This window comes from Homo sapiens, chromosome 15 (assembly GCF_000001405.40).
Source record: "Homo sapiens chromosome 15, GRCh38.p14 Primary Assembly".
Lineage (NCBI taxonomy): Eukaryota > Metazoa > Chordata > Mammalia > Primates > Hominidae > Homo > Homo sapiens.
In genome coordinates, this window is record NC_000015.10 from 59021298 (window position 1) to 59045901 (window position 24604).

Sequence of the window (24604 nt, forward strand, 5' to 3'; positions counted from 1 at the left end):
GTGCCACCATGCCCGGCTAATTTTTGTATTTTTAGTAGAGACAGGGTTTTGTTATGTTGGCCAGGCTGGTCTCGAACTCCTGACCTCAATTCATCCGCCTGTCTCGGCCTCCCAAAGTGTTGGGATTATAGGTATGAACCACCATGCCTGGCCTATGCCCTTCTGGATCTCAAAGATTACATTTATTTTTAGGTGTAAGAGAAAGTCTTAAATGTTAAGTCTTATGTATGTACCTGCTCCTTTAGGAAAGTAATTAATAATAACAGCCACTATGCCATGTGCTTTGTTAGGTACTCTCATTTAACCGTTACGGAATTTTATGAGGTAAGTACTATTATTATTCCAATTTTATAGACTAAAAACAGTTTTAGAGAGTACTATGGCCAAGATTACATAGGGGCAGAGTCAAGACTGTAACTCAGTGATCCCTGGATCGAAAATCTACATCACTGTTCACTGTTTATCACTCAGTATTCATTGAATATTTCATTTTCCATAATTTCACTTGTTTCCTAGATTTACTATAGCTTTTTGGTTATTGCTATGCGTTCATTTTTTCTAGCTTCTTATAAATTTTTTTTTGAGTCAGAGTTTGCTCTGTCACCCAGGCTGAAGTACAGTGACGTGACCTCACCTCACTGCAACCTTGCCTCCCAGGTTCAAGCGATCCTCCCGCCTCAGCCTCCCGAGTAGCTGGAACTACAGGCGCGTGCCACCATGCCTGGCTAATTTTTGTATTTTTAGTTGAGACGGGGTATCACCATGTTGGCCAGGCTGGACTCGAACTCCTGACCTAAAGTGATCTCCCCGCCTTGGCCGCCCAAAGTGCTGGGATTACAAGCATGAGCCACCACGCCTGGCCAAGCTTCCTATAAAATATTTTGGAAATATTTTATAAGACTAATTAACCTTGAAATTTTCCTCTTAGTGGTTTTGTCTGTTAGCTAGTTCTCTACCCTAAGTGTTTTGAGGTCTTTGTACTTAGAGGCGACAGAGAATTTTACTTCATTCAGAGCAAGCCTTAGCTGAGATACTAAAATCATGTGAAAGTCTGTCTAAATGTAAGGGTGGTTCCATCTTTGCTTCTCAGTTCCTCTTTACCTGTCAGAGGAGATAGTTATCCTAGACAGACCTCCCAAAAGATAACTTTGACTTCCAGATTCTGACAGTTCTAATCTCCATTTAACTGTATTTTCTTTCCTTTTTATAGCATGAGCAGTAATATCCAGACCAACATGGAATGGAGGATGTCCCTTAATCTCCTCACATGGCTATCCCTTGTGCAGTCCTCTTTTAACAAGTAATTGTTTCTGTGGATATCTGTTAAGGTTAAGGAGTATAGTGAACGTCTTTGGGTTTAGGTTGTTTAACCTCTTCACACTCCATATAAATCATTCTTCCAATGTCTTTTAAATGCAACCAAAAGACTCACCAAAGTGACATTGGCAGATAATAGGAAACTTCTCATTATTAATATCAGCATAGACACATCCAGTAAGGAGATTGCCTGTCCTTCCTGCTCTCTACCTAGAGGGTGTCTAGGTTTTACTTTGGATCTGAGAAAAGTAAGGAGAAATTCTCAGCTGGTTAATGCAGAAGTATGAACAGATCTGCAGTGTTCTGGTGGATTCCCTGGATGACAGAGGATCTTTGAAAGTGAGGAAATTGGCTGGGCGCGGTGGCTTACGCCTGTAATCCCAGCACTTTGGGAGGCCGAGGCGGGAGGATCACCTGAGGTCAGGAGTTCGAGACCAGCCTGGCCAACGTGGTGAAACCCTGTCTCTACTAAAAATACAAAAAATTAACTGGGCATGGTGGTGCGTGTCTGTAATCCCAGCTACTCGGGAGGCTGAGGCAGGAGAATCGGTTGAATCCGGGAGGCGTAGGTTGCAGTGAGCTGAGATCACACCACTGCACTCCCGCCTGGGTGACAGAGCAAGACTCAATCTCAAAGAAAAAAAGAAAGTGAGGAAGTAGCATGCTGGTTTACCCTGTTTTATAACTGAATTTGCTATTATTTTGGCATGAAATTGAATTTCCCATAAATTTTTGCGTAACTGACATTGTTATAATTGTTTTCATGTAGGTCCTTTGTGTCTCTTGTTAAATTTCATACCAGATATTAAATATTTTCATTCCTCTTGTAAGTAGTATATTTTTGTTATTCTGTAGTATTTTCTAACTAGCTACTGTTTGTGTAAAGGAAAGTCATTGATTTTTGGAGTGTTATTTTTATTTATATATTTTTGGTAAATATATAAGTAACTGGCCTGTCTTACTGTTGCCAGTGGTTTTCTACTATTGAGCTCATTTGTCAGTGTCATCTGCCAATAATGAAAAAAATTACCTTCTTTTAAATATATATGCCCATTCCCTTGTTTAAATGAGTTTACTAGCCTTTCCAGAAGAATGTTTTATAACAGTGAATTCCTTTTTTTCTTCCAGATTTTAATGAGAATGCCTATAGTGTTTCACTATTAACCATCAGTTTTTTTCCCCCTGAATTATGTATGCCAAACAAACCATGTCTGTGAGCTGAATCCTGCCAGTCTAGTTTGAAGATTTACTTTATAACTTTGAGCCTTGAGACCCTAAGGGACATGAAGAGTGATCTTAATAGACTTTCTGGAAGGTGCAACCACTTTCCTATTTAATATTTCCTATTCTCCAAGAAGTAGCATGTAGATCAGTTTACCAATAATATATAGGAAAAAATCTTTTGGCTCCCTGCTGTTCTTTTCTATGGTCAGTTTCTCTCTTTTAAGGACCTGATTATCCCCAGTTATATGGTAAATATCTTGTGGCTACAGAATACCTGAAGAAGGAAATTGAGCAATAGTAAATTTTCAAGAAATCTTAGGTATTATTTTCCTAATTTTGTTATTATTATTCTCATTCTGCATATTTTCTTTTCTATCTCAGCTATTGGTGTCACCATATTCTTAGTTACCTAAGCTAGAAATATGGCAGTTGTGTTTTACTTCCTTCCTTTTACTCATTCTTTTACAGATTAATGCAATTAAAAAAAATACTAATTGAGTGCCTAGTATGTGCGAGTCAACTGTTTTCATTGCTAGAGATCTGCCTAGATGAGATTCCTGCTTCCTTGGAACTTATATTCTACTGAGACGCTTTGTGTAATAAATAGGCTAGCAAGATCTTTTCAGCAAGTACTTTAAGAAAGACAGAATATGAGTTTGAGTGATGAGGAAGAGAGGGTGATTTTTTAAAGTGTGTTTTAGTCCAGATTCTCTGAGAAGCAGATGCCAACATAGGATTACATGTTCTTTTACATATTTATGCGCATTCTCTTTTTTGAGTGACTTTACTAGCCTTTCCAGGATAATGTTTTATAACAATATCTCTTTTGAATTATTTTGGTCGTTTAAATGTACGTAACATAAAATTACCATTTTTAAGTTTATAATTTGGCATTAAGTACATTGACATTGTTGTGCAACATCTCCATCTATTTCCACAACTTTTTATCTTCCCCGACTGAAACTCAGTAACTGTTAAACACTAACTCCTATTCTCCCCCTCCCTCAGGTCCTCGCAACCACCATTTTATTTTCTGTCTATGAATTTGACTACTCTGGGTAATTCATATAAGTGGAATCATACAATATTTGTCTTGTTGTGTCTTCTTATTTCACTTAGCATAATGTCTTCAAGATTCATCCATGTTGTAATGCGTCAGGGTTTCCTTTTTAAGGCTGAATACTATTTCATTGTACGTGTATATCACATTTGTTTATCTATTCATCACTTCAGTGGACACTTGAGATGCTTCCACCTTTTGGTTTTTGCAAATAATGCTGTTACGATCCGCCCTCCTCCGCCTCCCAAAGTGCAGGGATTACAGGCGTGAGCCACTGCGCCCAGGCAGAAATCAAGTTTATCTTATAGTTTCATAGCAGTTATCGTGAGTATAACTTTCTCCTTTCTACTAGGAAAGGTAATAAGTTTATCAAGGGTCCCACTCTTCTTTTCATAATTGAGTACATTATTAGGTTGTGTACTCCTAGCAGAAATCTCTTGAGAAATTTTAGTACGAGCTAATGCACTTGAGGGTCCATAGTGATACTTTTGAGGGAAAATACCTTTCTTGCTAATGAAATTTTGGCTATTTAGAATATGTAACAAAGCATATTGTCTGTATTATCTAGATATGAGTAGTAGTAGTTATAGGTAGTAGAAGAGAATATTCTTTCAGGCATTTGATTTAATATACTTAAGCTGGCACATAGTAAAATAAATAAGAGAATTAAAAATTTAATACACACCCCAAGTGATATCCCTGTAGTACAGGTATTATTTTTTTCACTTAATTATATTAAAAAGATAGTTAAATGGTAGACATATTTCTAGTTGATTTTCTGATAATCTCTAAAACTTTTGTAGAAAAATGCCAAGTCATCTATGGCTTTTTTTTTTTCTTTTTTCTTTTGTGTCGGAATTTTGCTCTTGTCTCCCAGGCTGGAGTGCAATGGCGCGATCTCGGCTCACCGCAACCGCTGCCTTGCGGATTCAAGCGATTCTCCTGCCTCAGCCTCCCGAGTAGCTGGGATTACAGGCATGTGCCACCACGCCTGGCTAACTTTGCATTTTTGGTGGAGACGGGTTTTTTCCATGTTGGTCAGGCTGGTCTCGAACTCCCAACCTCAGGTGATCTGCCTGCCTTAGCCGCCCAAAGTGCTGGGATTACAGGCGTGAGCCACTGTGCCCGGCCGGCTTTTTTTTTTTCTTTTAAAATCTTATTTCTTTAGAGTCATGTAAGCAATCATTACATTTTTATTTAAAGTTGAAACAAGTATTCATATTTATAATTGGTGGTGAAGCATCATACCAATAATAGTGTATCACAGTTTAGAAGTAGAGTTCCTCAGAGTTGTATGGATAGTCTTAATGGGTTTTTCCTCCTTTTGCTCACATAAACTTGTTTATGATGTGAATTACTAAATCCCAACCCTAATTTTTAGTTTTGAAAGTTAGTATTTTTTTTTAGCTATCGTATTTTCTTAGTGCAAGGTTTACTAATAGTGGTGTATTCTACACTAGTATCAGGAGTAATTAGCATGCAGTCATCATGACATAGCAATGAAATGATTGGATCGATCTACACAAAGAGGGACTAGTATTATGGTTTCAGTATTGAAACAGTGTGTAACAGCAAGCCATTTATAATGTCACCAAGGAGATATATCTTGTACGCATTTGCCTCCTTTGTAAATTAGATCAGCCAATAATTTTTACAAAAATAAAAGACTAGAATATGGTTTTATCAAACAGCAAATAATTTAGAATATTATCTGTTATATTTGCTGCTTTTTAAGTTAAATGCAATACTTGTGTTTATTTCCTTTTGAACTTTCCTCTTCTAAGTTCAAAATACAGCCTGATACAATTACAGGGATGGATTTTAGAAAAAAAAATTTAGAACATGATACAATACAGCGATGGATTTTAGAAAAAAAAATAGTATGAATTACTCCCTGGGTGGGAACCTCTTAGTTATATGGGATATTAATTTTGCATTTAATGACTGCATGATATGTTAACTCAGAGAAGAGTTAACTGGTGTACAAACACACACCACAGCATACACCAAACCACCCCCCCTTGCTCTCCTCTACCCTTGTCTCATTGGACAGACTAAACTGATCAAAAATCAGAGCAGATTTAACCATAAAGAGTTGATTGCATTGTTTTGGCTTTGGGACATGAAATGATGGAAAAGAAATTGGGTTTAGTTAATTGTGCTGTGAATTGCTTCTTTGTAAATTAATGTATGGCTGCATGTTCTCAGAATTTGTCTGGTTTTTGGCAAGTTTTCATTGCTTCTCATGATCTCCATTATCAACATGAGGACTTAGTAATTACGGATGAGGAGTCTAATTTTTAAATCTTCAGCCCATAAAGACTCCAAGATCTCCTCCTCTGAAATCCACCAGAACATAACTCTGACATGGGTTTCTGGAAGAACCCCAGCTGTTTCCAACATACATCATGAGACTTCTGTTGCTGATGGAGTCTCTGATGCCTAGAAATCTTGATACTTTTCCTCTTGACTTTTTCACTTTTTTTAAACCTCTTGACTTTCTGGCAGGAGTTTTATTGAGATTTTATTTCACTGGGTTTTTAGTATATTCACAGAGTTGAATAGCTGGCACCACAATCAGTTGTAGAACATTTTCAGTTCACTGAAAATAAAAGAAATTCTATACCTTTTTTTCTTTTTTTTTTTGGGAGACAGAGTCTTGCTCTGTTGCCCAGGCTGGAGTGCAATGGCGCAATCTCGGCTCACTGCAACCTATGTCTCCTGGGTTCAAGCGATTCTGCTGCGTCAGCCTCCTGAGTAGCTGGGATTACAGGTGCCTGCCACCATGCCTGGCTAATTTTTGTATTTTTAGTAAGACAGGGTTTCTTTTCACCATGTTGGTCAGGCTGGTCTCAAACTCCTAACCTCAGGTGATCCACCCGCTTCAGCCTCCCAAAGTGGTGGGATTACAGGCGTGAGCCACTGCACCTGGCCCACCTTTTTTTTTTTTTTTCCCCACTCTTGTTGTCCAAGCTGGAGTGCAGTGGTGTGATCTCAGCTCACTACAACCTCTGCCTCCCTGGTTCAAGCAATTCTCCTGCCTCAGCCTCCTGAGTAGCTGGGATTACAGGTGCACGCCACCATGCCCGGATAATTTTTTGTATTTTTAGTAGAGATGGGGTTTCACCATGTTGGCCAGGCTGGCCTCGAACTCCTGACCTCAGGTGATCTGCCCGCCTCGGCCTCCCAAAGTGTAGGGTTTGGCCACCGCGCCTGGCCAGAAACTCCATGCTTTTCGGCCATCATAGTTGAATCCTCCGATGATCCCCAGCCCTAGGTAACCACATTCTATCTATGTAGATTTGCCTATTCCAGACATTCCATATAAAGGGAATCTTACATTATGTTATCTTTTTGACTGGTTTCTTTTACTTAGCATATTGTTTATCCATGTTGTAGCTTGAGTCAGTATGGTAGTCTGCGCCCCTGTCCAAGGGGAAACCATTCTGAGTCCCCCAGTGGATGCCTGAAACCATATAGTGTTTTTTTTTTCATATACCTACATGCCTATGATAAAGTTTAATTTATAAATTAGGCAGAATAAGAGACTAACAACAACAATAAAGTAGCAAAATTCTAACAACATACTGTGATAAAACTTATGTGAATGTGGTCTCTCTCTCATAGTGTGAGTAACTGAAGCTGTGGAAAGTTAAACTGGATAGTGAGGGACTACCGTACTTCATTTCTTTCTATTGCTGAGTAATAATCTTTTGTATGGATTTATTTATTCATCAGTTGATTGGCATTTGTGTTCCCACTTTTTTGGCTGTTATGACTAATGTTGCTGTTTATAAGTTTTTTTATGAATATGTGTTTTCATTTCTCTTGGGTACATACCTAGGAGTGGAAATGCTAGGTCACATAGCAATTTTGTGTTTAATTTTTTTTTTTTTCTTGAGATAGAGTCTTGCTCTGTTGCTCAAGCTGGACTGTAGCGGTGCAGTCCCAGCTCACTGTAACCTCTGCCTCCCAGGTTCAAGCGATTCTCATGCTTCAGCCTCCCAAGTAGCTGGGATTACAGTCAGTGCGCCACTATCCTGGCTAATTTTTGTATTTTTAGTAGAGATGGGGTTTCACCATGTTGGCCAGGCTGATCTCGAACTCCTGGCCTCCAGTGATCCGCCCGCCTTGGCCTCCCAAAGTGGTGGGATTACAGACATGAGCCACCGCGCCCAGCTTGTATTTAATTTTTGAGGATCTGCTAGACCGCTTCCCAAAGTAGCTTGTATCATTTTACATTTCCATCAGCAATATATGAGGGTTCCAATGTTTTTTTTTTATGCATCCTCTCTAACACTTGTTATTACCTGTGTTCTTTATTACAGCCATCCTGTTTGGCCCCATTCAACTCTTAGATCACATGTACCTGTGTTTTATCATTGTGACTTCTGTGTTCTTGCCTTTAATTAAAGTGATCCTTGTCTGACTGGCTGCCTTCTGTAATTTGCTCATTGCCATGCTCATGTTCACTCATCTTTGTATTCCTGGTTTATCACTGATCCTGCTGAACTACAGATAGCGCGTGATGGCTGATCTTGGATACAGCACTGCCTGTGCTTGTGAATAAGAATAAAAGAAGATAGTGGTTTTGATAGCTTTCTGTAGGAATAGGTCATTCTATGCCTTAATTATTGTCATTTGTTCTGATAGTAAAGTTATATACTATAGTAACATGGGAGACCTGTAAGATTATATATTTCTGTAACCCATTTGTAGAGAGGGAAAATACTTGCTTACTAAACAGCTGTTGTACTCGCTTTTTAGGAACTGGTTTCAAAATGTATTTTATGGGCAAAACAAATCTGTGGTGTCAGAAGTTACAATAGTGGTTAACAGTTTGGTGGGCTGTAGTAATGGGAAGAAGATTTCTAGGGTGCTGGTTATGTTGTTTATCTGTGTGCCAGTTACATAGAGGTGTTCATTTTTTTAGTGTTCATTCATCTATAAACTTAGAATATGTGTGTATGCTATACTTAATAAAAACTTGTTAAAAATATGTTAACATTGTTTATTCATGTTTTGCACTAGTAAAGCTCTTCATTTGTCACATTTACTGCCTTTCTGATTAATATATTTCATTTTGAGTCATGATATTTACTATTACATTATTTTCATATGTACATTGCATTGATGTAAATGCTTTAAATTCAGATCTCTTTTTGGCAGCTCGTAATTTAAGATGTTGAATGATTTAGATAGATTAGCTGTACAAAGTTTGATTTTATGTTCTGCTGTATTGTTTATTTAACTGAATGATCTTCAGCAGCCCACAGTCTTGGCTCTAATCTTTTTGTATTTAAAACTGAAATGCAGTAGTTGTGTCTACTATCAGGAGAATTCAGATTCTCATTAGAGAATTAATAGAGTAGTATGAAGGAAAAAAAATAGAAAAGAGAAGCTTATATTCATTAGCTCATTATTAATAATATCAATCTAATGTAGTAACCATCTAGATGTACAGAAACATTTAATAATAACCACTTAAAAATGTCATACCAGGAGTAAAACATGTTGACTAATTAGTCTTTTGAATTCGAATCCTTTTATTTATATTTCACTGAAATAGGTTTTGAAGTAATTGTTTGATTTGACCAAATATGTTTTGTTGCTGAAGGTAGTGAGATATGCAATAAGATCAGTTTTTGGTTAATAGAAGTTTTTAAGTAGGCTTATGCTCTATATCTACTGTATTTCTAAAAATTGGATGCATGAGTAGAGTGACCAGAGAAAAACGTTTTATAAGAATAGTAAAATAATTCATAACAGACATTTTGTGTACTGATGAGGAAAAGACAGTTCTGCCTTTATAAGGGATCTTCTTGGTGGAATTTGAGAACTCTTCAATTAAATAGTATAATAAAACACATTAAAAATCTTTTAAATATCTAATTTTGTCTTCTAGGCTTTCCTTAAAGTTTCCCATGTCTCAATGGACTCCTGAATATAACGAGCTCTACACCTTAAAAGTGGATATGAAGAGTGAGATTCCTTCTGATGCACCAAAGACACAGGAGAGTCTGAAAGGGATCCTTTTGCATCCAGAGCCCATTGGGGCAGCCAAAAGTTTTCCTGCAGGAGTTGAGATGATTAATAGTAAAGTGGGGAATGAATTCTCTCACCTGTGTGATGATTCTCAAAAGCAAGAGAAGGAAATGAATGGTAACCAGCAAGAACAAGAAAAAAGTCTCGTTGTGAGGAAAAAACGCAAAAGCCAGCAGGCTGGCCCTTCGTATGTGCAGAATTGTGTTAAAGAAAACCAGGGAATATTAGGACTGAGGCAACACCTAGGGACACCAAGTGATGAAGATAATGATTCCTCTTTTAGTGATTGTCTTTCTTCTCCTTCATCTAGTCTGCATTTTGGAGATTCTGATACTGTGACTTCAGATGAGGATAAAGAAGTCTCTGTAAGACATTCCCAGACCATTTTGAATGCTAAAAGTAGAAGCCATAGTGCACGGTCTCATAAGTGGCCTCGGACTGAGACAGAATCTGTATCGGGATTGTTAATGAAAAGACCCTGTTTACATGGCAGTTCGTTACGGAGACTTCCATGCAGAAAGAGATTTGTAAAAAATAATTCCTCACAGAGGACACAGAAACAAAAAGAGAGGATATTAATGCAGAGGAAGAAACGAGAAGTGTTAGCTCGAAGAAAATATGCCTTGCTACCTAGTTCTAGTAGTTCCAGTGAGAATGACCTCAGCAGTGAATCCTCTTCTAGCTCATCAACTGAAGGAGAAGAAGATTTGTTTGTTTCTGCCAGTGAAAACCACCAAAACAATCCAGCTGTTCCCTCAGGTAAAAATGTTTAAGCTGAGTAAAACATGGAACCTATTGCATTGCATTTGTGCTTAATTTTTTGTTTGTGTCTTACTGATTTTATTTAAAGGGACTATCAGGTTCTATTAACTTTTATTTTTAAGTCATATAAATTACCAATTGCAGTATTAAACCATGACTCTAATGCTAAGATAAAAATTTAAAAAATTTCTAGTGACAAAAATAAGTCAGAGTTTTTTGGGAGAATAACCCTTCATTACTTTTTTTTTTCTGAAACAGAGTCTCACTTTGTCACCCAGGCTGGAGTGCAGTGGCGCAATCTCGGCTCACTGCAACCTCCGCCTCCTGGGTTCAAGCAATTCTCCTGCGTCAGCCTCCCAAGTAGCCAGGATTACAGGTGCCCACCACCATGCCCAGCTAATTTTTGTATTTTTAGTGGAGACGGGGTTTCACTATGTTGAACAGGCTAGTCTTGAGCTCCTGATCTCAAATTATCTGCCCACCTCAGCCTCCCAAAGTGATGGGATTACAGGCATGAGCCACTGTACCTGGCCTCATTTATTACATTTTATACATATTAGATTATATTTTATGTATGTTCTTCATTTATGGTACACATTTTTTTCCTTGTGTTTCTTTAATATGCTTGACTGTTATGAATACTTTTTCAGCTACCTGTATGATGGATTCAGCCATAGTAAGAACAGTTCTAGTCACTAAAAAAGACTGGTTAATTTTTTTTCCTTTGTTTTTTTGAGGCAGCATCTGGCTTTGTTGCTCAGGCTGGAGTATAGTGATGCAGTCTTGGTTCACTGCAACCTTCACCTCCTGGGCTGAAGCCGTCCTCCCACGTCAGCGCCTCAAGTAGCTGGGACTACAGGCCCACACCACCACACCTGGCTTATTTTTGTATTTTTTGTAGAGATGGGTTTTGCCAAGTTGCCCAGGTTGGTCTTGAACTCCTTAGCTCAGGCGATCCACCTGCCTTGGGCTCTCAATATTTTTTCTTTAAGTACTATATTCTTGTTGTTTGCTGTTATCATGTTCTTTATAGCTGAAAAGTAATTTCAAGTAACTTTTATTCTAATACTAGGACCCAGAGACTTTTAGTCTCGACAGTGCATATGATACATCAATTAAAATTGGGTAGGGACTATTTCCTATCAGTGCTCTTGAGCCTGTGTGCTCTTGCTCATGCGTGCTGACTCTCTCTCTCTCTCTCACACACACAGTAAATGTGATATTTAAGTAGAATAAGTTTATTTGCAGACAGTCCTGAAATGTATGTTCCATGTATACAAACCATCCTAAGATAATGCATCACTTTTACAGTTGTAATTTAAAGGGAGTTGTTGAAGTGAGCATTGAAGAGCTGTCTGAACTGAGGGAAAAGATTAATTTCTTGTGAAATTAGGGAATAGGGTAATGGGCCTAGGGAGAGCTTTCTAAAGGGCTAGCTAGGTCATGGTTTCTAATACTAACATAAGCTTTCTCAGTTTTACCTTATGTCTTGCCTGTTAAGGTCAGGGCCTGCTAGTCTACTTTTGGATGTGCCATTTCTTCTTCTCTTCTTCTTCTTTATGAGTCCCTTTCTTTTCCAAGAATCTCTTTCCTTTTTCATCTGTATTTTTCTCTTTTTGCCAGAACCCTAAACCAGTAACCTTGTTATTAATCTTAGGCTTGGCCATGTTCAGATCAGTTTTACCTACACAAATACTTTTTTGAGAAGAGTTCATTTTGATCATGTACAGCCAGGTGAGAGGAGTGTAGAATAACCATTGCCAGAGATTTCCTGAGAATAAGGGAAATGAGGAGTTGTGTTGCTTAATTGTCACATTTTTCTCAAGTGGTCAGAATGTGCATATACTAGTTTTGGGAGTGAGTACAGCAGAGCTCAGTTTGTGCTCGAAGTCAGTGAGACAGGATGGTTGATGTGGAGCAGAAGTTCTAAGGAGCTGATGTTTATAGGGGAATGAGAATATAGTAATTGAATGTCATTATCAGTGCCAGGGGTTCATATAGCCTCAAGTATTAAAGAGAAGTCCAAACTTAATTCATTTAAAAATCTTATTTAATACTTACTGTAGCGTGTGTGTTTTTTTTCATTGCCTTTCTTGGCAGAATTACGTTATTTTTAACTACATTATTTTCAGACACTACCCTCAAACATGAGAAACAGAAATCCAAAATGTTGAAACCAAGTACATTCAATGTTTTCTGGTTTCTGGACAAGTGATTTGCTTTAAACTGGTTTTAAAAAAAATAATGATTTAATAACATTCACACGATATGGAATTTTAAAAGTATCAATTAAGTATAAAATAGAAAATAAAAGTTTATCTCTTCTTCAGATCCTCCAGTGTTACTATTAACCAGAAGTAATCACTATTAGTAGTTTCTTATCTCCTTCAGAAAATGTGAAGGGCTATTCAAGGATAAATAATGTGGCTCTTTTTATATCACTATGTATAGTTATCTCATTCTTCTTGACATTTGCATAGTATTCCCTTTGTATGGATGTTCCATAATTTATTTAATCAGCTTTTGTCAGTGGATATTTGCTGCATTGAGCAACATTGTGCTTGCGTTTTATACACCTATGTAAGTGTATCTTAAGGAATAATTACTGAAAGTGTTTCAGAGGGTATATGCATTGAAAATGTTGTTGGCTGTTGTTACCAGAATGCCCTCCAAGAAGTTTGCATTAAATTCCTCGATGCTAATGTCGTGATGATAATAAAAATATCTAACACTGGTTGAGTGTTCACTCTGTGCCAGTAATGTTCTATTTTATGTGTATTCTCATTGAATCCTTCCAGTACTCTTATGAGATGGATTCTGTTATCATCACACTCATATTACAGATGAAGCATTTGGAAAATCAGTTTGGAATGATTTTTTAAAAACTATAGTTAAACTGAAATATTAATGAGACTTAGCTCTATTATCAAGAAATCTCAGCTCTTTCAAATAATTAACTTCCTTAGATTCTTAGGAGATAGGTTATTTCCTAGTCATATTTTGAGTGATTCAAATAAAATGATTTGGCAAAAAGTCTTAGCTAATTCAAATTGGTAGAACTAGAACTTGAACTCAGGCTTTCTGGATAGAGTTGGAAAGTCTAAACTTTTAATTTGACTTATTTACTACATGTTAATATGATTTGTATGGATGAATGGATATTAGTTACTCTGGAACTTCTGGGACAACTTTTTCATACAATGTGCTTGTATTAATCCATTGTCACGCTGCTAATAAAGACATACCCAAGACTGGGTAATTTATAAAGGAAAGGGGTTTAATTGGCTCACAGTTCCACATGGCTGGGGAGGCCTCACAATTATGGCAGAAGGTGAATGAAGAGCAAAGTCACGTCTTACATGGCAGCAGGCAAGAGAGAGATTGTGCAGGGGAACTCCCATTTATAAAACCATCAGACCTTGTGAGACTTACTCACTACCATGAGAACATGGTATGTGGGAAACTGCCCCCATGAATTATGTCCACCTGGCCCTGTCCATGACACGTGGGAATTATTATAAGTCAAGGTGAGATTTGGGTAGGGATACAGCCAGACCATATCATTCTGCCCCTGCCGCTTCCAAATCCCATGTCCTCATATTTCAAAACCAATCATGCCTTCCCAACAGTCCCCCAAAGTCTTAACTCATTTCAGTATTTACTCAAAAGTCCACAGTCCAAAGTCTCATCTGAGACAAGGCAAGTCCCTTCTGCATATGAGCCTGTAAAATTAGAAGCAAGTTAGTTCCTAGATGCAATGAGGGTACAGATGTTGGGTAATTATACCCGTTAATATTTCATTCCACATAACTTATGCAAATTTCTGAGCTGGTTTGAATTTCTCCCCAGAAAATGGGTTTCCTTTTTTATCACATTGTCAGGCTGCAAATTTTGCAAATTTTTATGCTCTGCTTCCTCTCGAATGGTTTGCTCTTAGAAATTACTTTTGCATATACCCTAAATCATCTCTCTCAAGTTCAAGGTTCCACAGACCTCTAAGGCAGAGGCAAAATGCTGCCAGTCTCTTTGCATAGCAAGAGTGGCCCATTTACTCCAGTTCCCAAGAAGTTCCTTGTCTACATCTGAGGCTACCTCTGCCTGGACTTTATTGTCCATATCACTGTCAGCATTTTGGTCAAAGCCATTCAACAAGTCTCTAGGAAGTTCCAAACTTCCCCACATCTTCTTATCTTTGGAGCTCTCCAAACTTTTGCAACCTCTGCCAGTTACCCAGTTCGAAAGTTGCTTCCACATTTTCAGATATCTTTACAGAATCACCCCACTCTGTTAGTACCAATTTACTGTATTAGTTCATTCTCATGTTGCTAATAAAGACATACCCGAGACTGGGTAATTTATTCTATTTTTATTTATTTATTATTTTTTTGAGACAGTCTTACTCTGTGGCCCAGGCTGCTGGAGTGCAGTGGTGTGATCTTGGCTCACTGCAACCTCTGCCTCCTGGGTTAAAGTGCCTGAGTAGCTGGGATGACAGGCCTGCACCACCACGCCCAGCTAATCTTTATATTTTTATTAGAGACTGGGTTTCACCATGGTGGCCGGGCTGGTCTCAAACTCCTGGCCTCAAGAGATCCGCTGCCCACCTCAGCCTCCCAAAGTGCTGGGATTACAGGTTTGAGCCACCGCACCCGGCCAAGACTGGTAACTTATAAAGGAAAGAGGTTTAATTGACTCACAGTTCCACATGGCTGGTCAGGCCTCACAATCGTGGCAGGTCATTGAGGAGCAAAGTCACATCTTACATGGCAGCAGGCAAGAGAGAGCTTGTGCAAGGAACTTGGCATTTATAAAATCATCAGATCTCATGAGACTTGTTCACTACCGTGAGAACATGGTATGTGGGAAAATTGCCCCCATGATTCAGTTATCTCTGCCTGGCCCCACCCTTGGCATGTGGGCATTATTACAATTCAAGGTGAGATTTGGGTGGGGACAAAGCCAAACCATATCGGTGCATCAATATTTATTGGCTATTGGGAAATGAACTGATGGAAAAATGTTTTACATTTTAAGTATTTTGTAATATCTTAAAATACTCCAAGACCCAACAGTTGTATATAATTAACTGACTTTATGTCATCAGTTCATTTGTGGTTCTTTTTGGTTTGGTTTTATTTGCTTTTTGAGACAGTCTTATCTGTTGTCCAGGTTGGAGTGCAGTGGTGCAATTATGACTCGCTGCAGCCTCAACCTCCTTGGGCTCAGGTGATCCTCCCACCTCAGCCTCCCTAGTAGCTGGCACAGCAGCAGGTGTGTGCAACTACAGTTGACTAATTTTTTTTTTTTTTTTGGTAGAGACAGGGTTTTGTCATGTTGCCTAGGCTGGTCTCGAACTCCTGGGCTTAAGTGATGTGCCTGCCTCGGCCTCCCAAAGTGCTGGATTACAGGTGTGAGCCACTGCACGTAACCAGTGTATTTGTTATAATCAACAGATTTCTGGAAAATATTTGCTTCTTGCTGTCCCATTATTAATTGGCTTTTAACTTTATTAGGGATTTCTATTATGTGTAGAAAGCCAAAGTGATATGTTACTTGGGTTATTAGAAAGCCTGTTAAACATTTAGTTTTTCCCAGTTGCCAGTGAGGCTGATAATTTATACATTCTGTTTTGTTACTGCAATATGTCAAGAACTCCAGATATTTAAAATAACCTAACAGAAGCTAGGTTTGAGAATAGGTGTTAATTTTAGTAATATATTTCTAGGATCTATTCAGAGAACCTTACTGGAACTAATTGACATTTAATAACACAAAAACCTTGGGTTTCCCAATTAATTATGGATATGAGGACTTCTTTATACTTTATTAACTTTAAAATTAATAGGTATTGCCGGGCGTGGTGGCTCACACCTGTAATCTCAGCACTTTGGGAGGCCAAGGCAGGTGGATCACCTGAGGTCTGGAGTTCGAGACCAGCCTGACCAACATGGAGAAACCCCGTCTCTACTAAAAATACAAAATTAGCCGAGCGTGGTGGCGCATGCCTGTAATCCCAGCTACTTGGGAGGCTGAGGCAGGAGAATGGCTTGAACCTGGGAAGCAGAGGTTGCTGTGAGCCGAGATCACGCCATTGCACTCCAGCCTGGGCAACAAGAGTGAAACTCCCTCTCAAAAAAAAAAGTAGGTATTACAGATTATATCTCCTTCAGTCTTCAAGGAAACGTAAATGTCAAATATGCTCCTAAATAAGAGAGCTTAAGTCAGTCCCATTTTACCACTGAGGAGAAAAAGAAGTTTTGTCTATCTTGCTTTGAAATACAAAGTTTTAAGGCTGTTGTTAAAATAGTCATATGTCTTATTAACTTATTTACATATAAGATATTGAAAAAATGTTAATTTAGAGTTAGTGATTATTACCCACATTTCCTGAAAATAATTTTATTCACACAACCATCGTAGACCTTGATGTCTTGGTAATTGCTAGAACCATTTTTTAAGTCATCACAATTTTTGAGAGCATAGGATCCTCATCTGCTTTGTGTGAGGTATGGCACGCACTGACTCCATGAGTGATGCATCACTAGAAACTTTGTCTCAAACTACAAATATCATTTTACCTTATATTAGGCTTTAAAAAATTATCTAATAGCTGTATATATATATATTTTCCATGTGTAGTCCATACTGTATTGACTTTTTAAGCTTTTTTAAAAGTTTGCTTAAAAAGATAACCCTTGGAATTGTAGAGTCCCAGGATCAGGAATTATATCTAATGCTGTGAATACTTCTGTCCCTCTTTTTGTAAAAGTAGCATTGATTGAGTTATAGTTTTTGGTTTTATGATTTTATTTGGGAACTTTTAGACTTACACAAAAACAGAAATATGCAATGAACTCCCATATAATCATCATCTCGCTTCAGTTGTTGACATTCTGCCATTCTTAATTCATTTCTAACCCCTCTTTTTTTTCCTGGAGAATTTCACAAAAATTGTAGACATCATTTTACTCATAGACACTTCAACACACATGGTTTAATTCTTTTTTATATATGGCATCATTTCTGTAAACTGGTAGGTAGTTGGGTCTAAAAGCTTGATTAGGTTCAAGTTTAGTTCCGGCAGTACTTTGTTGATGATACTGTGTGCTTTCTGTTGCGTCACAAATTGAGCTTGATCAGAGGGTTCAGATGTTGTCATTCTGATCCTTCCATTATAAAGTTCCCCTTCACTGTTTTCTGTAATGTTTTTTAGCAGTTATTAATGGTCTTGCCCAGATTCATTATATTAGGGGTGCAAAATATTGATTTATTTTTTGAGATGGAGTTTCACTTTTGTTGCCCAGGCTGGAGTGCAATGACACGATCTCAGCTCACCGCAACCTCTGCCTCCCGTGTTCAAGTGATTCTCCTGCCTCTGCCTCCCGAGTAGCTGGGATTACAGGCACGTGCCACCATACCTGGCTAATTTTTTATTTTTAGTAGAGATGAGGTTTTTCCATGTTGGTCATGCTGGTCTCGAACTCCTAACCTCAGGTCATCTGCCCGCCTTGGCCTCCCAAAGTGCTGGGATTACAGGTGTGAGCCACCACTCCCGGCCTTGATATTCTAATTCTATCATTTTGCTTAGGTTTATTATCTGAGGTTCTTCTATAAAGGAAGAACACTTTGTTCATCAGCTCATTGGTTATTCTGAAATTCTGTTCATACAGGAAAGGCAAGATGAATGCTTGATTTTCTTCTTTCATTTACCACTTCTCAGAATGACTTAGTTGTTCTAGCAGCATCCAAAGAGGTTTTTTCACTTTTGAGTATCATTATGAATGCATGAATTTTAGTATATTTGATGGGTTTCAGTTTGTTGCAGTCTTTTTATACTTTTTTAAATGATTTCATCTTTGGCCATTGGGAACATCTTCAAACTGGGTCATTGTCCTTTTGATGCCATCCTAGTAGTCGTTGATAACTTCCTTCCTCTCTGGTATATCAAGTTGGTGCAGATTAATCTACAGTTCCTGCCCCAGACCTAGAAACAGCTATTCCTTTAAGAACTCCTGATTTTTTTTTTTTTTGAGACGGAGTCTTGTTCTGTTGCCAGGCTGGAGTGCAGTGGTGCGATATTGGCTCAGTACAACCTCTGCCTCCCAGGTTCAAGCGATTCCCCTGCCTCAGCCTCCTGAGTAGCTGGGACTACAGGCACATGCCACCGTGCCCAGCTAATTTTTTGTGTTTTAGTAGAGACGGGGTTTCACCGTGTTGGCCAGCATGGTCTCGATCTCCTGACCTCATGATCCACCTGCCTCAGCCTCCTCAAGTGCTGGGATTACAGGTGTGAGCCACTGCGCCCTGCCCGATTTTCTTTTATTGGGAGGTGATAGAGACTACAGTCTGGGAATTAAGGTGGTTTTTGCTCTGCTGGGTTGCCAATGCTTTTGGCTTTTTTGAATTTAACCTAATTTTTTTTTTTTAAAGGGACGGTCTCACTCTGTTGCCTAGGCTGGAGAGCAGTGGTACACTCAATAGCTCTTTGCAGACTTGACCTCCTGGGCTCAAGTGATCCTCCTGCCTCAGCCTTCTGAGTACTTGGGACTACAGCACATGCCATCTTGCTCCACTAATTTTTAAATTATATTTTAATTTTTTTTTTAGAGATGAGATCTTCTTAACGTTGCCCAGTTTGGTCTCAAATTCCTGGCCTCAACTTATCCTACCATGTTAGCCTCCTCATTTGCTGCAATTACAGGTGTGATGTGAACCACCATGCCTAGCACATTTTGACTGTTTTAACAGACAAAGCTAGAAATGTAAAGATTTTAGAAAAAAATAAATCTTTAATTTAAGTGAATATTTCCACTGCAAGTTTAGGATTAGGGTTTTTATGTAAGTTGTTGTTTTATATTTGTATTTGTTCTTACACTGAAAACTCTGATTCTTAACAATATTAACCATTGCTTATTTGCCTTGTCGTATATATGCCATAAATACGTACACATAAGTGAACTAGTTTCAACATAAAAATTACTTTTAATGGCAAAACCACCATTGCTTTTGCACTAACCTAATACAGTAATTCTAATTAATACAGTTTAAGTATTTTGTTTTGTATAGTGTCTTTTTGCCCTTGGCCAGTTTTCTGTGTGGTTATGCCACCAATTTCACATGCATTTAGGTTCATTTATTTCAGGGTTGGCTTTTTTAAAGATATTTTTAAAAAATTTAATTTCGCTTTTTAAATTATGTAAAACATTTACCTAGCTTCAGAGTCAAAACTTTAAAACAAGATATACTCAGGTCTTAATTTAGTTTTGGTTAACTCTTTCATTTTTTTTCTTCAAAAATATACCCAAAATATGACCCCCTTCTCTTACTCAAAAGTGTCTCTTGCTTTTTTCACTTAATATATACTATTGTTGGGGTATACAGAGATACTGTAGAGGAATGAAAGTATATATCTCCGTATATCTCATTTCTTTTTATTCCTTTTGTTGTTAAGCTTCATCATACTCCCTTGCATGGTTGTACCAGTTTGTTCAACCAGTCTCCTATTGATGAACAGTTTGCAGACTTTTTTTTATTATTTTAAATAGCACTGCAATAAATAGCTTTTCTTGACCCCGTGCAGTGGCTCACGCCTGTAATCCCAGCACTTTGGGAGGCCGAGGCGGGTGGATCATGAGGTCAGGAATTCAAGACCAGCCCGACCAACATGGTGAAACTCTGTCTCTACCAAAAATAGAAAAATTAGCCGGGTGTGGTGGCTGCACCTGTAATCCCAGCTACTCAAGAGGCTGAGGCAGGAGAACTGCTTGAACCCAGGAGGCGGAGGTTGCAGTGAGCCGAGATCTAGAGATTGTGCCACTGCACTCCAGCCTGGGTGACAGAGTGGGACTCTGTCTCAAAAGAAAAAAAAAATTACTGCAATAAATAGCTTTTTGTATATGTCATTTCATATTTGTTTGACAGTGTGTCTTTGGAATAGTATTCTAGAAGGCAGTTGTTGAATAAAGGATAAATGCATATGTTATTTTGTAAAATATGGCCACATTTTTCTCCATGGTGATTGTAACCATTCTGAATGCTCACCGGCAAGGGTGCCTGTTTTCTCAAAATCCTTCCAACAGAATATGTTGTCAGATTTTAGGGGGTTTTTGGTCCGTCTGATAGCTGAGAAATAGTATGTCAGTACATTTTAAATTTGTATTTCTTTTATTTTTTTTAATGTGTAATGTGTATCTTTTCATATGTTTTAAAAACTTTAGGTCATTTTCATTTCTTTTCCTGTGATCAGTCTGTTCATATTTTTTTTTTTTTTTTTTGCCTGTTTTGATATCAGGATACTGGTCTTCATTCTTCTATCCATTTTTAGAAGCTTTTTATATATTAGCAATGTAAGTCCTATATAATACACACATTTTTCACAAATTAATTAGTAGTTTCTTGACTTACATACTTTTATGCCAAATTTTTTTTTCTTTTTTTGAGACAGGATCTCACTCTGTCACCCAGGATGGAGTGCAGCATATTGCTGCCTCGGCTCATTGCAACCTCAGCCTCCCACGCTTAAGCAATCCTCCCACCTCAGCCTCCTGAGTAGCTGGGACCACAAGTGCACACCCCCACGCCTGGCTAATTTTTATATTTTTAGGAGGGATGAGGTTTTGCCATGTTGCCCAGGCTGGTCTTGAACTTCTGAGCTCAAGTGATCCACCCGCTCGGCCTCACAAGGTGCTGGGATTATAGGCGTGAGCCACTATGGCTGTCCAACATTTTTTTTCACAAGTCATATTTATCAACTTTTATTCTTACTGCTTCTGGATTTTGAATCATAATTAGGAATACTTTTACCACTCCAAAGTTCTAGCAAAATTAGCCCATTTCCCCCCAGTCCTTGTACTTAATTCATTTTTAACATTTAGAGCATAGATCCATTTGGTGTTTATCCTTACGTATAATAGGAAAAATGGACCAAATTTTTTTTCATGTGACTATACAGTTGTCCCCAAACCAGTCATTAACATCTTTTTCCTATTGACTTGAGATATGCTACCTTTGTCACATGTTAAATTTTCCACATGCATTTGGGCCTGTTTATGGAGTTTTTACTCCGTCTTATTGCTCTGTCTGTCCATGTACAGGAAGAACACTCTTTTAATTATAAAATCTTTAATGTTTTCCTAGATATTGTTGTTTGTTTATTCCTCCAAGTGAACTTTATAATCAGTTTGTTTACATGGAGGTGTTTGGGGGTGGGGAGGTCTATGATGGTATTTTTATTGGGATTCCATTTGTAGATTACATTACAGAGAGTTGACATCTTGGGATTTTGAGTCCTTGTATTCCAGAATATGGGATGTCTTCATTTGTTGATGTCTAGTTTTGTATCTTGCAGAGAGCGTTTTATGTTCTTTTAAAAATTATTGAGGTATAATTAACTACTATAAAATTCATTTTAACTATTATAAAATTCATTCATTTAAAGTGTACAATTTAGTAATTTTTTTTTTTTTTTGAGACAGGGTCTCATTTTGTTGCCCAGGCTGGAGTGCAGTGGTGCGATCTCCGCTCACTGCAGCCTCCGCCTCCAGGGTTCAAGTGATTCTCCCACCTCAGCCTTCCAAGCAGCTGGGATTACAGGTACCTACCACCTCAGCCAGCTGATTTTTTTATTATTTGGTAGAGACGGGGTTTTCACCATGTTGGCCAGACTGGTCTTGAACTCCTGACCTCAGGTGATCTGCCTGCCTTGGCCTTGCAAAGTGCTGGGCTTGCAGGTGTGAGCCACTGCAACTGGCTGGAATTGTTTAAGTGATTTATTCCTTGGCTGGGCCCTGGTCCTGCTTGTGTTTCTGCACTGCCATTAGTCATGAAGATGAGATACGACATCTATAAGGCTAGTGAGCAGGCTCCTGTAGGTAGGTAGAGGTCAAGGGTGTTTTGAATGGTTTCCGGTATTTGCTATTGTGAAAATGCTACAGTGAACATTTGGGTACAAATCTTTGTGTACATATATGTTTTCATTTCTGTTGGAAAGATACCAACAGAGGAGTCCCAAAGTAGAGTCATTTGCTTATACCTTCAGTAACTTTAATTGTGACTGTAAAAGACGAGAGCAGTGGCAAAAGCATCTGGTAGCAGGAAAATGCTTTTGATAGTAACTAGGCACCCACATGTTTAGTAGGTATGGTACCATGGTGTCATTTATGAAAAGAATATGAGCTTTAGAATTGGAATTAGCTTTGAATTTTAAGTGTTGCTTATTTTCTTGCAAGTCACTTAAACTTTCTAAGCTTCAGTTTCTTGATGAGGCTAGACATGCATAATACTATATGTGGCACAAAGTTTGTGCTCACAGATTGGAAACTGTCTTTTTTTTTCTGGTGGGGGGAGACAGAGTTTCGCTTTTGCCGCCCAGGCTGGAGTGCAGTGGCGCAATCTCGGCTCACTGCAACCCCCACCTCCCGGGTTCAAGCGATTCTCCTGCCTCAGCCTCATGAGTAGCTGGGATTAGAGGCACACATCACCATGCCCAGCTCATTTTTGTATTATTAATAGAGACGGGGTTTTGCCATGTTGGCCAGATTGGTCTCAAACTCCTGACCTCAGGTGATCCATCTGCCTTGGCCTCCCAAAGTGCTGGGTTTACAGGCATGAGCCACCACGCCTGGCCATGGAAACTCTTCTTATTGTTAGCATCATTCCAGTCTTAAGGCACAGAGAGACTAAGGTGATCAGTGAGTATAGTGGCTAACGTTGCTTATTGCTGATGCCAAGAGAATCTGTGATCTCTTACCAGGAAATAGAAATGGGCTTTGAAGAGTTTATAAAGAACTCTCGCAGAGAAACCATTGTTTTTGTTATCATTGTTGTACTACTCATATTCTTTCTGGCCTGGTAGCCAGAGAAATATGTTATTTTTCTCATGATGTTTTAAAAGCTATAAACAACCTAACTAACCTTAAAAAAAAAACAATTCGAAGAAAATCACCCACAGTCCTACCACTGTCTTAGCCATACTCGTTTTTTATCCTTTAGTATTTCTAAATGTAAAAGATAAAATGAAAATAAAGTTGACCCAGTAAGAAGTGACCTATTCTCTTGATTTTCTTTTAAGTCGTGCTATTTAATAAGATTAACTTTATAATTTTTGAAATGTTTCCCTTTTAAAATTTTGGTTTAAATAACTTATCTTAGAAAACACTGGATTGTAGATGCCAAAATGTTGCCTGTTGTGAATATGCTTTAGTTATATAATTTTTATGTATTATGTTCAAGTTATGCATAAAGTCCTTTTTAGAAAAATAATGATGTTTAAGCAATAGAATAAGAGTGCCTAAGCAAGCTATTTTTATACTTTTAGTTACATAATCTCTGTATTCATAAAAAGTTATATAAATTGAATTTTCATGCATTAGCAAAGCTAGCTTTGTATCATTTATCATTGAGGTTTCAAAATGTTACATAAGCCATGTAAAAGGTGTTCGATAATGTTAGCTTATTTTTTACAGTTTTTTTTTTTAAGTGTTTCCTCTTTTTTTTTTTTTTGAGACAGAGTTTTTGTTCTTGTCACCCAGGCCTGGAGTGCAGTGGCACGATCTTGGCTCACTGCAACCTCTGCCTCCCAGGTTCAAGTGATTCTCCTGCCTCAGCCTCCCGAGTAGCTGGGACTACAGGCACCTGCCACCACACCTGGCTACTTTTTGCATTTTTAGTAGAGACGGGGTTTTACCATGTTGGCCAGGCTGGTCTCGATCTCCTGACCTTGTGATCTGCCCGTCTTAGCCTCCCAAAGTGCTGGGATTACAGGCGTGAGACACTGCGCCCGGCCTTAGTTTTTCCTCTTTTTAAAAACAGGTTTTAAAAGAAATTTTGTATACAGATAAATGGAGAAAAATCATAAATGAAGTTGACATATAGATATAACTTTTCTCCATGTCGAATTGGTAATGCCCAGTTTATGGGTTGAAATAAGGAAAGTTTTTTAAAAAATATGACTTGTCGTTGATACATAATGCTTTTAGTTTTAAATGTACTTTTACCACCATACTTAATTCCATATTTAATAATTTGAGTTAATTAACAAGTAACATGTCTGCAAAGTCAATGGTTAGCTGGATTAATATCTCAAGGTTCCTTTTGTACTTCTACCTTAAGCTGCATTGTGTTTATGATTATGAAGCAAGAGTTGGAAAATAATTTGGAAATTCAATCTACAATATTATTTTAAATAGCCACTTGGGT

At 38.1% G+C, this 24604-nt stretch overlaps 1 protein-coding gene across 30 annotated transcripts in view, besides 3 other annotated features; it reads left to right on the forward strand.

The window, feature by feature from the left end:
- The window catches only part of RNF111 (ring finger protein 111), a 109757-nt gene that overhangs the window by 33635 nt on the left and 51518 nt on the right, over positions 1–24604 (forward strand). For 18 of the 30 annotated variants that reach the window (XM_047432713.1, XM_047432717.1, XM_047432721.1 and 15 more), the window contains one exon: positions 9507–10405. In XM_047432713.1, coding sequence (XP_047288669.1) covers positions 9507–10405 — 899 coding nt within the window. Of the gene's footprint in view, positions 1–1210; positions 1301–9506; positions 10406–24604 lie in introns of all 30 variants that reach the window. The other 12 variants (XM_047432702.1, XM_047432708.1, XM_047432701.1 and 9 more) reach the window with 1 other exon arrangement.
- Positions 3762–3945: a silencer, noted in NCBI's record as "fragment chr15:59317258-59317441 (GRCh37/hg19 assembly coordinates)". NCBI's record gives its function as "represses an EF-1alpha promoter that drives an FKBP-Casp9 reporter gene in an ReSE screen in K562 erythroleukemia cells {active_cell/tissue: K562}" and the evidence as "EXISTENCE:reporter gene assay evidence [ECO:0000049][PMID:32094911]".
- Positions 4085–4586: an enhancer, noted in NCBI's record as "H3K4me1 hESC enhancer chr15:59317581-59318082 (GRCh37/hg19 assembly coordinates)". NCBI's record gives its function as "activates a minimal SCP1, AML or CMV promoter by ChIP-STARR-seq in primed H9 embryonic stem cells {active_cell/tissue: H9 hESC(primed)}" and the evidence as "EXISTENCE:reporter gene assay evidence [ECO:0000049][PMID:30033119]".
- Positions 4587–5086: an enhancer, noted in NCBI's record as "H3K4me1 hESC enhancer chr15:59318083-59318582 (GRCh37/hg19 assembly coordinates)". NCBI's record gives its function as "activates a minimal SCP1, AML or CMV promoter by ChIP-STARR-seq in primed H9 embryonic stem cells {active_cell/tissue: H9 hESC(primed)}" and the evidence as "EXISTENCE:reporter gene assay evidence [ECO:0000049][PMID:30033119]".